Consider the following 14,409-nt stretch of genomic DNA (forward strand, 5'->3'; position numbering starts at 1 on the left):
TTCCCTCTTCTCCAATAGCCCCCGATAGTACCTGGGATAAAGAGAGCGTGCCTTTGATTAGAACAGGCTTACATGAGCCAGGCATTGTGCTAAGTGCTTTATATCCATTGTCTCTGATGCTTAAAATCATCCTGTGAGGAATTAGCATAATTATCCCCATCTTACAGATGAAGACGTTGAGGCTCAGAGAGGAGACAAAGTGACTTGCCCAAGGTCACACAGCTAGTAAGTGGCAGAACAGGGATTTGAGCTCAGGTCAGACTCAAGCTCGTGCTTTGCAATACTGCCTTTCTGGGCTGGGAAGAAGCAGGCAAGAGCTTAGAGTGGGCCAGGTGTGGTGGCTCATGCCTGTAATCCCAGCACTTTGGGAGGCTAAGGCAGGAGTTCACTTGAGGCCAGGAGTTCAAGACCAGCCTAGGCAATGAAGAGAGACCCCCCCCACCGACCCCCACCCCACTTTCTTTTTTTTTTTTTTGAGATGGAGTCTCACTCTGTCACCCAAGCTGGAGTGCAGTGGCACGATCTCAGCTCACTGCAACCTCTGCCTCCCAGGTTCAAGCAATTCTCCTGCCTCAGCCTCCCGAGTAGCTGGGACTACAGGAGCGTGCCACCACGCCCATGTTGGCCATGATGGTCTCAATCTCTTCACCTCGTGATCCACCTACCCCGGCCTCCCAAAGTGCTGGGATTACAGGCATGAGCCACCGTGCCCAGCCAAGAGACCCCCTTTTTGTTTAAAAATTATGTTCTGTGTTCCCAGAGGTAAATTTTTTTTTCTTGTTAAAAATAAATTTTGGCCGGGCACGGTGGCTCACGCCTGTAATCCCAGCACTTTGGGAGGCTGAGGCGGGAGGATCACGAGGTCAGGAGATCGAGACCATCCTGGCTGACACTGTGAAACCCCATCTCTACTAAAAATACAAAAAATTAGCCAGGCGTGGTGGTGGGTGCCTGTAGTCCCAGCTACTCGGGAGGCTGAGGCAAGAGAATCGCTTGAACTCGGGGGGCGGAAGTTGCAGTGAGCTGAAATTGCACCACCACACTCCAGCCTGGGCGGCGGAGCGAGACTCCGTCTCAAAAAAAAAATAAATAAAATAAAATAAAATAAATTTTGCCAGGCACGGTGGCTCACACCTGTAATCCCAGCACTTTGGAAGGCCGAGGAGGGTGGATCACCTGAGGTTGGGGTTCGAGACCAGCCTGACCAACATGGAGAAACCCCATCTCCACTAAAAATACAAAAAAAAGTGACCCGAGATCGCACCACTGGACTCCAGCCTGGGCGACAAGAGTGAAACTCCATCTCAAAAAAATAAAAAGGTAGCCGGGCGCGGTGGCTCAAGCCTGTAATCCCAGCACTTTAGGAGGCCAAGGCGGGCAGATCATGAGGTCAGGAGATCGAGACCATCCTGGCTAACACGGTGGAACCCGTCTCTACTAAAAAAAAATACAAAAAAATTAGCCAGGCGTGGTGGTGGGCGCCTGTAGTCCCAGCTACTCGGGAGGCTGAGGCAGGAGAATGGCATGAACCCAGGAGGCGGAGCTTGCAGTGAACCTAGATCACGCCACTGCACTCCAGCCTGGGCAACAGAGCAAGACTCCATCTCAAAAATAAAAATAAAAATAAAATAAAAAATAAAAAAGCAGGCCAGTGCGGTGGCTCACGCCTGTAATCCCAGCACTTTGGGAGGCCAACGAGGTCGGAGACAAGGTCATGAGATCGAGACCATCCTGGCCAACATTGTGAAATCCCATCTCTACTAAAAATACAAAACTTAACTGGGCGTGGTGGCATGTGCCTGTAGTCCCAGCTACTCTGGAGGCTGAGGCAGGAGAAACACTTGAACCCAGGAGGCAGAGGTTGCAGTGAGTTGAGATCACGCCACTGCACTCCACCCTGGCGACAGAGTGAGACTCCCTCTCAAAAAATAAATAAATTTATGTATTAGGGTCTGGGTGCAGTGGCTCACGCCTGTAATCCCAGCACTTTGGGAGGCTGAGGCAGGTGGATCATTTGAGGTCAGGAGTTCGAGACCAGCTTGGCCAACATGGTGAGACCCCATCTCTACTAAAAATACAAAAAATTAGCTGGGTGTAGTGGCAAGCACCTGTAATCCCAGCTACTCAGGAGACTGTGGTAGGAGAATCACTTGAACCTGGGAGGCTGAGCTTGCAGTGAGCCAAGATCATGCCACTGCACTCCAGCCTGGGCAACAAAGTAAGATTCCTTCTCAAAAAATAAAAATAGGCCGGGCTGTAATCCCAGCACTTTTGGGAGGCTGAGGCAGGAGGATCATGAGGTCAGGAGTTTGAGACCAGCCTAACCAACATAGTGAAACCTCGTCTGTACTCGAAATATAAAAAATTAGCTACGCATGGTGGTGCGCACCTGTAATCCCAGCTACTCAGGAGGCTGAGGCAGGAGAATCTCTTGAACCTGGGAGGCAGAGGTCGCAGTGAGCCGAGATCACGCCATTGCACTCCAGCCTGGTCAACAGAGCGAGACTCCATCTCAAAAAAAAATAAATAAATAATAAAAATAAAAATAAATAAATAAATTTTAGGCCAGGCATGGTGGTTCATACCTGTAGTCCCAGCACTTTGGGCGGCTGAGGCAGGCAGCTTACGTGAGGTCAAGAGTTTGAGACCAGCCTGGCCAACCTGGTTAAACTTGGTTTCTAAAAACCAGCCATGGCCGGGCGCAATGGCTCACGCCTGTAATCCCAGCACTTTGGGAGGCCGAGGCGGGCGGATCACGAGGTCAGGAGATCGAGACCATCCTGGCTAACATGGTGAAACCCCGTCTCTACTAAAAATACAAAAAAATAAAAAATAAAAAATTTGCCTGGCGTGGTGGCAGGCACCTGTAATCCCAGCTATTCGGGAGGCTAAGGCAGGAGAATGGCGTGAACCCGGGAGGCGGAGCTTGCAGTGAGCCAAGATCGCGCCACTGCACTCCAGCCTGGGCGACAGAGCTAGACTCCATCTCAAAAAAAAAAAAAAAAAAAAAAAAAAAAAAAAAAAAAAAAAAAAAAAAAAAAAAAGCCATGCAAGTCAGGCCTGGATTTGAGTCTCAGCTCTGCCCACTTATGAGCTGTGTGACTATGGGCAACTGACGTGGCCCCAATAAAGCGGAGATAATAGTAGTGCTGTATTCACCAGGGTAATTAGCATTAGCCGACTCAGCAAACCACCACAAAACCTCTGTGGCTGAACACAATAAAGGTATGTTTGTCTCAGAGTCTAATGAGGGTCTGGTAGCCCTCCTCTATTTTGAGCTATACCATCAGAACATGTGGCCACCAGAGTGACCACAGCAGGGGAAGAGAGAGATGAAGACACATCAACTCCAAACCAACTCCCCCATATTTGGGAGACATAACTTCTACTCACAGCTCCTTGTCTATAACTAGTCACTTGGCCCAAACTAACCAAGAGGGAGGCTGGGAAATAAGAATGAGCACACAGATCTTTCACAGGGAGTCAGCTACAAGGACCCATCTCCAAAGGGTGCTTTGAGTATTTGGTGGGCAACTGCCCACAACCGGGCTCCTAGGGTTGTGCTAGACAGCGACTCATTACCCCCACACCCTGCCATCAAGTGTCCCATGCTTGTACTCTGGTCCTGGTCCAGACTTCAGACACTCTTCTGCATCTATCAGCTCTTCTAGATTAAACACACAGCCAGGTGTGGTGGCTCACGCCTGTAATCCCAGCACTTTGGGAGGCCGAGGCAGGCAGATCACATGAGGCTAGGAATTCAAGATCAACCTGGCCAACATGGCAAAACCCCATCTCTACTAAAAATACAAAAAAAAAAAAAAAAATGAGCCAGGCATGGGGGCACATGCCTGTAGTCCCAGCTACTCAGGAAGCTGAGGCAGAGAATTGCTTGAACCTGGGGGGCGGAGGTTGCAGTGAGCCAAGATCACACCATTGCACTGCAGCCTGGGCAACACAGCGAGATTCTGTCTCAAAAAGAAACACACACACAAAAAGCACAAGCCTCAGTGACAGTGGCCCCAGGCAGCAGGCATTCTCATTTCTGGGATTTCCTTGTCATTTCTTTCTCATTTCTGGGATTTCCTTGTCATTTCTTACACTTCCTACTTTCTCCTCATGTCAACAGGTTTTCACAACCACCTTTGAGCTAAGTCCCATAATTGTTCCCATTTGGATGAGGAAACAGGTTCCGAGAGCAGAAACAACCTATCAAAGTCCCACAGTGAGTCAGGGGCAGCTGGAACCAGCACCCAGGTCTGTCTAACCCCATTCCACACACAAAGCCTCACAACAGACTCTTACCAAACCAGATGCCCCCTGGGAACAAGATTTTGTCAGATTCACATCAGACGACATCCTTTCCACCTGCATCTCACACACGCTCAGCATTTGCCTTGATGAACGTGGCTCTGCTCCTGTTCCCTTAGGTCTTGGGTGAGTGCTAGTGGCCTCACTGGAGATAGATAGAACCAGGACTGTGAGGGGCTTCTGAGGCTCTCATGTATCTTAGGTCCCACCTAGCTTTTTTTAATTTAATTTTTTTTTTGAGATGGAGTTTTGCTCTTCTCCCCCAGGCTGGAGTGCAGTGGCGCAATCTCAGCTCACTGCAACCTCCACCTCCCGGGTTCAAGTGATTCTCCTGCCTCAGCCTCCCATGTAGCTGGGATTACAGACATGCGCCACCACGCCTGGCTAATTTTTGTATTTGTAGTAGAGACTGGGTTTCACCTTGTTGGTCAGGCTGGTCTCAAACTCCTGACCTCAGGTGATCCACCTGCCTCAGCCTCCCAAAGTGCTGGGATTACAGGCATGAGCCACCCCACCCTACCCAGTGCCGCCCAGCTTTTGCCTTGCCTGAGACAGTGAGTGCCTGAGTGCCTTACCTGCTCTCCTCCCTTAATGTTCTGGGCCACATGGGTTTGTCTTTTGTGTTTTTGTTTGTTTGTTTTTTAAGACAGGGTCTCACTCTGTTGCCACAGGCTGGAGTGCAGTGGCGCAACCCTGGCTCACCGCAACCTCCACCTCCTGGGTTCAAGCGATTCTCCTGCCTCAGCCTCTCAAGTACTTGGGATTACAGGCACCCGCCCCCATGCCTGGCTAATTTTTATATTTTTAGTAGAAACAGGGTTTCACTATGTTGGCCAGGCTGGTCTCAAACTCCTGACCTCAAGTGATCCATCCATCTCAGTCTCCCAAACTGCTGGGATTATAGGCATGAGCCACCACGCCTGGCCGGCCACCTGGTTTTATGGTGAAGGAGGAGGAGGAGAGGGAAGTGGCCAGGCTCTGAGTGGGTGGGAGCCCCTTGAGAGGTGAGCCCTTCCTTGAGGTTTTCTCACCTTACACCATGTTCTCTATGTGGAGAGCTGGCTGGTCTTGCCTCTTCCTACACAAAAAAACTGTCAGGGCCAGGTGCTGGGGAGCCCCAGTCTCTGGGTCCCTGCCACACAGTGCTCACCTGCCAGCGGGAGGTCAGAGACTCAAGCAGCCACGACAATACAGATAAAATGCTGCCACAGGGTTATGGAAGCATGTTGGAGCTGCATCCAACCAATATGGGACACTGGGAAACTTCCCAGGGGAAGAGACATCCATGTCTGTCCAGTAGGAGGCAGCCAGGTAAGAATGTGGGAGAGGGCTGCCTGCCTGTAATCCCAGCACTTTGGGAGGCTGAGGCGGGCGGATCACCTGAGGTCAGGAGTTCGAGACCAGCCTGGGCAACATGGCAAAACCCCGTCTCTACTAAAAATACAAAAATTAGCCGGGCATGGTGGCACACATCTGTAATCCCAGCTTCTCAGGAGGCTGAGGCAAGAGAATCACTTGAACCTGGGTGGCAGAGGTTGCGGTGAGCCAAGATGGCACCACTGCACTCCAGCCTAAGCAACAGAGTGAGCCTCTGTCTCAAAAAAAAAAAAAAAAAAGGCCGGGCGCGGTGGCTCACGCCTGTAATCCCAGCACTTTGGGAGGCCGAGGCGGGTGGATCATGAGGTCAGGAGATCGAGACCATCCTGGCTAACAAGGTGAAACCCCGTCTCTACTAAAAATACAAAAAATTAGCCGTGCGCAGTGGCGGGCGCCTGTAGCCCCAGCTACTCGGGAGGCTGACGCAGGAGAACGGCGTGAACCCGGGAAGCGGAGCTTGCAGTGAGCCGAGATTGCGCCACTGCAGTCCGCAGTCCGGCCTGGGCGACAGAGCAAGACTCCGTCTCAAAAAAAAAAAAAAAAAAAAAAAAAAATGTGGGAGAGTATTCCAGAGGCAGAAAACTTAGTTGGCCCAGGACACAAAGGGATTTGGTCTCGTTGAAAGGTGATCAGGGATGGTGATTTGCAGGTTGTGTCCACTTGGATTCTTGGTGCATGATGAAAGTCTCCCCCAAACACAATCGTAACCCAGCTCTGCATTTTGGTTCAATCTTGAGGCACCCAGGGAGGACACTTGGAAGGAAAGCATCCACCTTGGTCTGTTTCTCTTGTGTGAGCTCAGCTCTCCCAGGTGTCATAGTGGGCACGGCCTCGAGGGGGCAGTGTCCACTCAGAGATGTGCCCAACTGCCCTGGGAAGCAAGCCCTGGGAGGGCCTTGTTGGAAAGGTTCCAGCCTGCCAGGCCAGATTCACGAAGGCTGAATCCTCAGAACACATAGAAGAGGGGGTTCTCTGGCAGCACCCCTCTCAGGAGTTTGAAGCAACCAGGGGCAGTAAGGAGCAAGCAGCTGCGAGATGTGGATTCCTCAGGCCGTGCCCCCATGTGCTGGAAAACAGGTGGCAGAGGTTACTCTGCCTGGTGTGTACACATACATGGTTTGTTTGATCATATCCGGTATAAACCCTACTCGAAAATATTTGTCATCCGGCACCTACGGAGTTCAAAATACTAACACAGTACAGCCTGCACTGTTGTCCCTGGGGACTGAAAGGGGTCATTTTTGGGTGGCCTGACAGAAATGTGTCACAGAGCAGTGTCGCCAAATAGTGCCCCACTCTAGTTTTGCTCAGAAGGGGCCACATCAGCTGGGCAGGGTGTGGTGGCTCATGCCTATAATCCTAGCATTTTGGGAGGCCAAAGCAGGACAATCAATTGAGCCCAGGAGTTTGAGACCACCTTGGCAACATAGTGAGACCTATCCTCCACAAAAAATTTTAAAAACAGCCAAACATGGGCCGGGCACGGTGGCTCACGCCTGTAATCCCAGCACTTTGGGAGGCCGAGGTGGGCGGATCATGAGGTCAGGAGATCGACACCATCCTGGCTAACACGGTGAAACCCCGTCTCTATTAAAAGTACAAAAAATTAGCCGGGCGTGGTGGCGGGCGCCTGTAGTCCCAGCTACTCGGCAGGCTGAGGCAGGAGAATGGCGTGAACCCGGGAGGCGGGGCTTGCAGTGAGCCGAATTGCGCCACTGCACTCCAGCCTGTGCGACAGTGCAAGACTCCGTCTCAAAAAAAAGAAAAAAAAAAACAAAGCCAAGCATGGTGGTACCCAGCTACTCAGGAGGTTGAAGTGGGAGGATCGATCCAGCTCAGGAGGTCAAGGCTACCATGAACCATGATCACACATTGCACTCTAGCATGGGTGATAGAGTGAGGCCCTGTCTTGAAAAAAAGGAGGGGCCGCTTGGGGAGAGAGGGAAGGGAGGAAGCCCAGGCCAAGGGCCCAGTGCCTCTGTGGTTGGGGCTAAGGGATGTTGGGGCCCCCAACCCTGATTCTTCGGAGGAATTGGGAGGAAAGCTCCAGGTTCCACGTCATGTGGATGGGCCTGAGAATGAGGTGAAAGGTAACAATCACACACCCAAACCAGTTATGAGCCAAAGGTTTCACCAGATAAGGGATTGATGGCCACAATCACCAGCACATATGCAATTCTGTGGGTCAGACAGGGAGCTGAGTCACCATGCCCCGCAGTATCTCATTGACTGCCCCCAACAACAGAGAGTGGTTGAGAGTCCCCATTTCCAAATGGAGCAAACTGAGGCTCAGGGGGATGCAGATAAGTAGCGAAGCTATCTGATTCCAGAACCTGGCTGAGTAGCCACAGTGTGCTGCCTGCCTCCCCAGTGGAGCCTCTTGAGTCTCTTATCTGAGGTCGGGCATTACTAAAACAGGAATCGGAACTTGAACCCAGCACTCTCCAAGCCCTTAAGCCTCAGGTCTTAACCACAGAGCCCTGCTATGTTTGTTGTATGTTGTATCTGCCCAGGGCCCTGACCTAGCGGCCAGGTCAGTGGCCAGAAATGATCAGCCTCTGCCTTGGACTTGGCCTGGGCCCCTCCTTCCTGGTTCCTGTAGGTAGCCTGCTCGGCTTCCTTCCCAGTGAGCCTCCCATTCCTAACATCAGCAATTCTGGACAGGAGTAAAGTCCCTCTTGACCTTTGACTCCTTCAGCTTCTCATGTTCATCCCACAATCCCAAAAGTTCTTGGCGGAATAATCATTATAGCAGCTAATGAGCACATTCTAACTTGGAGAACATTCTCTGTGCCAGACCCTGAGCCTAATGCTCTGCCTATCACATGTGTTCCTCATGGCCACCCTGAGAGGTAGGTAGAGTTGTCCCCATTATCCAAATGAGGTAAATGAGGCTCAGAGAGGTTAAGTCACTTTCCCAAGGAAGCACAGAGAAGGAGCAGACTCAGAGTTTGAAGGGGTTTCAAACACTTGCTCTTTAAAGGCCAGGTACTAATTCCCAAACTTCTGAGTATCACAATTATCTGAGGGGGATGTTTTGTTTTGTTTTGTTTTGGAGACAAGGTCTTGTCTTGTCTCTGTTACCCAGCTGGAGTGCAGTGGTGTGATCAGGGCTTACTACAGCCTCAACCTCTCAGACTCAAGCCATCTTGCCAGCCCAGCCTCCTGAGTAGCTGGGGCTACAGGCACATGCCACCATGTCCAACTCATTTTTGTATTTTTTGTAGAGATTGTGTCACCCTATGTTGCCCAAGCTGGTCTTGAACTCCTGGGTTCAACCAATCCACCCACCTCAGCTTCTCAAACTGCTGGGATTGAGAGGGATTTTTTAAATAAAGATTTGGGGCTGGGTGCCTATAATCCCAGCATTTTGGGAGGCTGAGGTGGGAGGATCACTGGAAGCCAGAAGTTTGACACCAGCTTGGGCAACATAGCAAAACCCCATCTCTACAAAAAATACAAAAATTAGCCAGGTGTGGTGCCATATCCCTGTGGTTCCAGCTACTTAGAAGACTGAGGCAGGAGGATCCAGGTCGAGGCTGCAGTGAGCCGAGATCATGCCACTGCACTCCAGCCTGGGTGACAGAAAGAGACGCTGTCTCTTATAAATAAATAAAGATGTGGGTGTCCAACCTCTAGGAATCCTGACTTTGCAGGCCCAAAAATATATTTTAATAAACTCCTTGGGTATTGTTTTGTTTTGTTTTGTTTTGTTTTGTGTTTGAGACAGAGTTTCACTCTTGTTGCCCAGGCTGGAGTGCAATGGCACAATCTCAGCTCACTGCAACCTCCGCCTCCCGGGTTCAAGCGATTCTCCTGTCTCAGCCTCCCAAGTAGCTGGGATTACAGGCATGTGCCCCCATGCCCAGCTAATTTTGTATTTTTAGTAGAGACAGGGTTTCACCATGTTGGTCAGGCTGCTCTCGAACTCCTGACCTCAAGCGATCCACCCGCCTCAGCCTCCCAAAGTGCTGGGATTATAAGCATAAGCCACCGCGCCTGGCCCCTTGGGTGTTCTTGCTACATTGCTCTGTGCGCGTACCTTGATGGTTGATGAAATTGCTTCTTCTGACTACCAGTAATCACATCCTCTGAAATCCTGCCTCAAAACCAGCCCATCTTCAAACACATCTACACAGCCACCTGACCCTAAATGTTTGCTGTGGTCCGTGCTAGATCAAACCCAGGCATGATTTTTATCTGGATTCGCCCCAGAGCTGTCTCCCAGACCCTGGCATTTGCTGGCTCCATTCATTCCCTGGAGTTTCCTCGCTCCTCCACCCTCCACAATTGCACCAGCAAACCTGCGCAGCTGGTTTGCCAGGGAGGAGCAAGACCTGTTTTCCCATCTTAGGGCTCTTCTCGCTTCTGATTTCATAGGTGGTCAGAAAGTACATGTAGGGTTTGAGGTGGGGACTGCTGGAAGAAGAGTGCGGGCAGGAGGTCATTTTGACCGCAGCCTGCTTTGCAGACCCCATAGCTGCTGGAAGGCCCTGGGACAGCAGCCCCACCCCCACCACTAACCACACCCTGGCCGCCTACCTGCGATGCTTGTCTCCTAATCAGCCTCCACCACCCACAGCAGCATCCGGATACAGAGTCACCGAGATAGGAGCTCCTTTGGTGTGACTAATGTTAGTCCCTTCTGTTACCCAGCCTATCTCTGGTATAAGTTTCCAGGCTCCTGCTAAAGTGCTCGGAGGGGCTGGGCACGGTGGCTCACATCTGTAATCCCAACACTTTGGGAGGCCAAGGTAGGTGGATCACCTGAAGTCAGGAGTTCAAGACCAGCCTGGCCAACATGGTGAAACCCCGTCTCTACTAAAAATACAAAAATTAGCTGGGCATGGTGGTGTGGGCCTGTAATCCCAGCTATTCGGGAGGCTGAGGCAGGAGAACCACTTGAACCCTGGAGGGAGTGATTGCAGTGAACCGAAATCACTCCATTGCACTCCAGCCTGGGCAACAAGAGTGAAACTCCGTCTCAAAAAAAAAAAAAAAAATTGGCTGGGCACGGTGGCTCACGGCTGTAATCCCAGCACTTCGGGAGGCAGAGGTGGGCTGATCACGAAGTCAGGAGATCAAGATCATCCTGGCTAACACGGTGAAACCCCGTCTCTACTAAAAATACAAAAAATTAGCTGGGTGTGGTGGCGGGCGCCTGTAGTCCCAGCTACTTAGGAGGCTGGGGCAGAAGAATGGTGTGAACCCGGGAGGCGGAGCTTGCAGTGAGCCAAATTGCGCCACTGCATTCCAGCCTGGGTGACACAGCAAGACTCAGTCTCAAAAAAAAAAAAAAAATTAAATTAAATAAAAAAAAAATAAAGTGCTCAGAGGATAGGGTTAGTCAGGGACTAACAGAATGTTTCAGAGGAAATCAAGATATTGATGATATGGTGGCAGGGATGGTTTTTTTATTTGTTTTTTAAACTATGGCCAAACAGAAAGCTCAGCAGGCCATGTCATGGAGATAGACCATGTAGACATAGGCCAGGCTGGTAGCTTCACCTTACCTGGCCTTAGTTTCTTCACCCATAAAATAGGTCATATCACGCCTGCTGTAGTCACTTCTGAAGGGTTCATCTGTATGGACACTGATTTAATGACTGTAAAGTTGTAGGTAAAATGTCAGCTCATTAGTACGACTGACACTTTGTGTGTCCCAAGCATATTCCTGGCCCTGGGGGAATGCAAGGTTGTTATAGCTTAAAGTAGGACTTCAATGAGCTGACATTCCAGGTGCCTGGGAGGGCTGCTGCAGTGGGGTCTGAGGAGGGCTGGGGATGAGTAGAGAGGGGGCACTTAAGAGAGGGAAGTGGGCTGGGGAGAGTAGAAGGGAAAGCTGACCTTGAAAGCTGCAGTTAGGTAGGCATTGGCATTCCTTCCACAGTATTTTTTCAGGCACTGCTCTAAACTCTGGGGATGCAAAAGTGAGCAAAGCAGACATCTCTGCCCTCCTAGAATTTACATTCTAGGGGGAAAGGAGACGGATAATAAACCAGCTAAAAAATAAATCTTTGTTCAGATGGTGATAAGGGCTAGAGAGAAAAATAAATCAGGAAAGATGGATGGGACCTGAAGCTCACCAAATTTGAGTCTCCCTGCCTCTCCCAAATATATATTGAATGAATTCAAATTTAAGTTCAGGGCCTAGGAAGGGGAGCATTCAGGAACACTTTTTTTTTTTTTTTTTGAGATGAAGTCTTCTTCTGTCACCTAGGCTGGAGTGTAGTGACATGATCTCGGTTCACTGCAACCTCTGCCTCCCGGGTTCAAGCGATCCTCCTGCCTCAGCCTCCCAAGTAGCTGGAATTACAGGCGTGAGGCACTGCATGGCCTCTGGGGCAGTTTTAAATAAAGTGAGAAGGCATCAGTGCAGTGGAGACTTAGAGGTGAGAGGGAGCCATGGCTCCCTGGGGGAAGCCCCCTGGGGGAAGAGTGTTCCAGGCAGGGGAACAGCAAGCAGAAAAGGTCCTGGGGCAGGTGTGATCGGGAACAGCAAAGAAGCCAGCACGGGCCGGGCACAGTGGAGCGCACCTGTAATCCCAGCTACTCAGGAGGCCAAGGCAGGAGGATTGCTTGAGCCTAGGAGTTTGATATCAGCCTGGGCAACATATCAAGACCTCATCTCTATTAACAAATTAAAAGAAAAAAGAGGCTAGGCGTCGTGGCTCATGCCTGTAATCCCAGCACTTTGGGAGGCCTAGGCAAGTGGATCACCTGAGGTCGGGAGTTCGAGATCAGCCTGGCCAACATGGTGAAACCCCATCTCTACTAAAAATACAAAAATTAGCTGGGCATGGTGGTGGGACGTCTGTAATCCCAGCTACTTGGGAGACTGAGGCACGAGAATGGCTTGAACCCCAGAGGCGGAGGTTGCAGTGAGCCGAGATCATGCTACTGCATGCCAGCCTGGGTGACAAAGCGAGACTCCGTCTCAAAAAAAAAAGAAAAAAGAAAGAAAAAAGAAGCTAGGGCTGGGCGCGGTGGCTCATGCCTGTAATCCCAGCGCTTTGGGAGGCCGAGGTGGGCAGATCACAAGGTCAGGAGTTCAAGACCAGCCTGGCCAACATGGTGAAACCCCATCTCTACTAAAAATACAAAAATTAGCTGGGCGTGGTGGTGGGAAGCCTGTAATCCCAGCTACTTGGGAGGCTGAGGCATAAGAATCGCCTGAACCCGGGAGGCAGAGGTTGCAGTGAGCTGAGATCGCGCCACTGCCCTCCAGCCTGGGCGACAGAATGAGACTCCATCTCAAAAAAAAAAAAAAAAAAAGAAGCCAGTGTGGACTCAGCAAGGGCATCAATGGGGAGAGCAGAGGAGAAGTTAAGAGGGAATGGAGTGGGGGGTGTAGATCATGAGGGCCTCAGGCCGCTTAAGGACTTGAGCTTCTGTTTGTTTGTTTGTTTGTTTGTTTATTTAGAGATGACAGGGTCTCACTCTGTTGCCTAGGCTGGAGTACAGTGGTGTGATCACTGCTCACTGTAGCATCAACATCCGGGGGTAAGCGTTCCTCACACTTTAGTCCCCCAAATAGCTAAGGACTACAGGTGTGTGCCACCACACCTGGCTAATTTTTTATTTTTTCTAGACATGGTTCTTACTTTGTTGCCCAGGCTGGTGTCCAACTTCTGCCCTCAAGCAATCCTCCTGCCTCAACCTCCCAAAGGGATGGGATTAAAGGCACCCAGCCTTGGGTTTCTATTCTAAGTGAGATGGGAAGGGCACAAATGTGATAAGATCCAAATGCACTTTTTTTTTTTTTTTTTTTGAGATGGAGTTTCACTCTTGTTGCCCAGGCTGGAGTGCAATGGCGTGATCTCGGCTCACCACAACCCCCACCTCCTGAGTTCAAGTTATTCTCCTGCCTCAGCCTCCCGAGTAGCTGGGATTACAGGCGTGCGCCACCATGCCAGCTAATTTTGTATTTTTAGTAGAGACGGGGTTTCTCCATGTTGGTCAGGCTGGTCTCGAACCCCCAACCTCAGATAATCCGCCTGCCTCGGCCTCCCAAAGTGCTGGGTATAACAGGCATGAGCCACCGCGTATGGCCCAACTGCGCTTTTAGAAGAGACTTCTGTCCACGGAGTGGAGGAGGACCAAGAGCAGCAGGTGAATGGTGAGAAGTGGTCAGATTCTGGAAACACTCGTATTTTGAAGTTAGAGCCTGATGATTTAAATATGCGGTATTATAGCCGGGCGCGGTGGCTCACGCCTGTAATCCCAGCTACTCGGGAGGCTGAGGTGGGAGAATCACTTGAACCCAGGAGGTGGAGGTTGCGGTGAGCTGAGATCGTGCCATTGGGCGCCCAGCCTGGGCAGCAAAGCGAGACTCCGTCTCAAAAAATAAAAATAAAAATAAAATGGGGTATAAGCCAGATGCAGTGGCTAACACCTGTAATCTCAGCACTTTGGGAGGCCAAGGTGGATCACTTGAGGTCAGGAGTTCGAGACCAGCCTGGCCAACATGGTGAAACCCTGTCTCTATTAAAAATACAAAAATTAGCCAGGCATGGTGGTGTGTGCTTGTAGTCCCAGCTACTCGGGAGGCTGAGCCAGGAGAATGGCTTGAACTGGGAAGCGGAGGTTATGGTGAGCTGAGATCACACCACTGCACTTCAGCCTCGGCGACAGAGTGACATTCTGTCTCAAAAAAAAAAAAAAAAAAATGTGGTGTGCACAGTGGTTTACACCTATAATCCCAGCACTTTGGGAGACAGA

The 14,409-nt window shown here is 50.7% G+C and overlaps 1 annotated feature.

Annotated features, from left to right (window-relative positions):
- Nucleotides 10,116–10,616: an enhancer, noted in NCBI's record as "H3K27ac hESC enhancer chr9:131061384-131061884 (GRCh37/hg19 assembly coordinates)". NCBI's record gives its function as "activates a minimal SCP1, AML or CMV promoter by ChIP-STARR-seq in naive and primed H9 embryonic stem cells {active_cell/tissue: H9 hESC(naive and primed)}" and the evidence as "EXISTENCE:reporter gene assay evidence [ECO:0000049][PMID:30033119]".

Source organism: Homo sapiens, chromosome 9 (genome assembly GCF_000001405.40).
Source record: "Homo sapiens chromosome 9, GRCh38.p14 Primary Assembly".
In the NCBI taxonomy this organism is placed as follows: domain Eukaryota; kingdom Metazoa; phylum Chordata; class Mammalia; order Primates; family Hominidae; genus Homo; species Homo sapiens.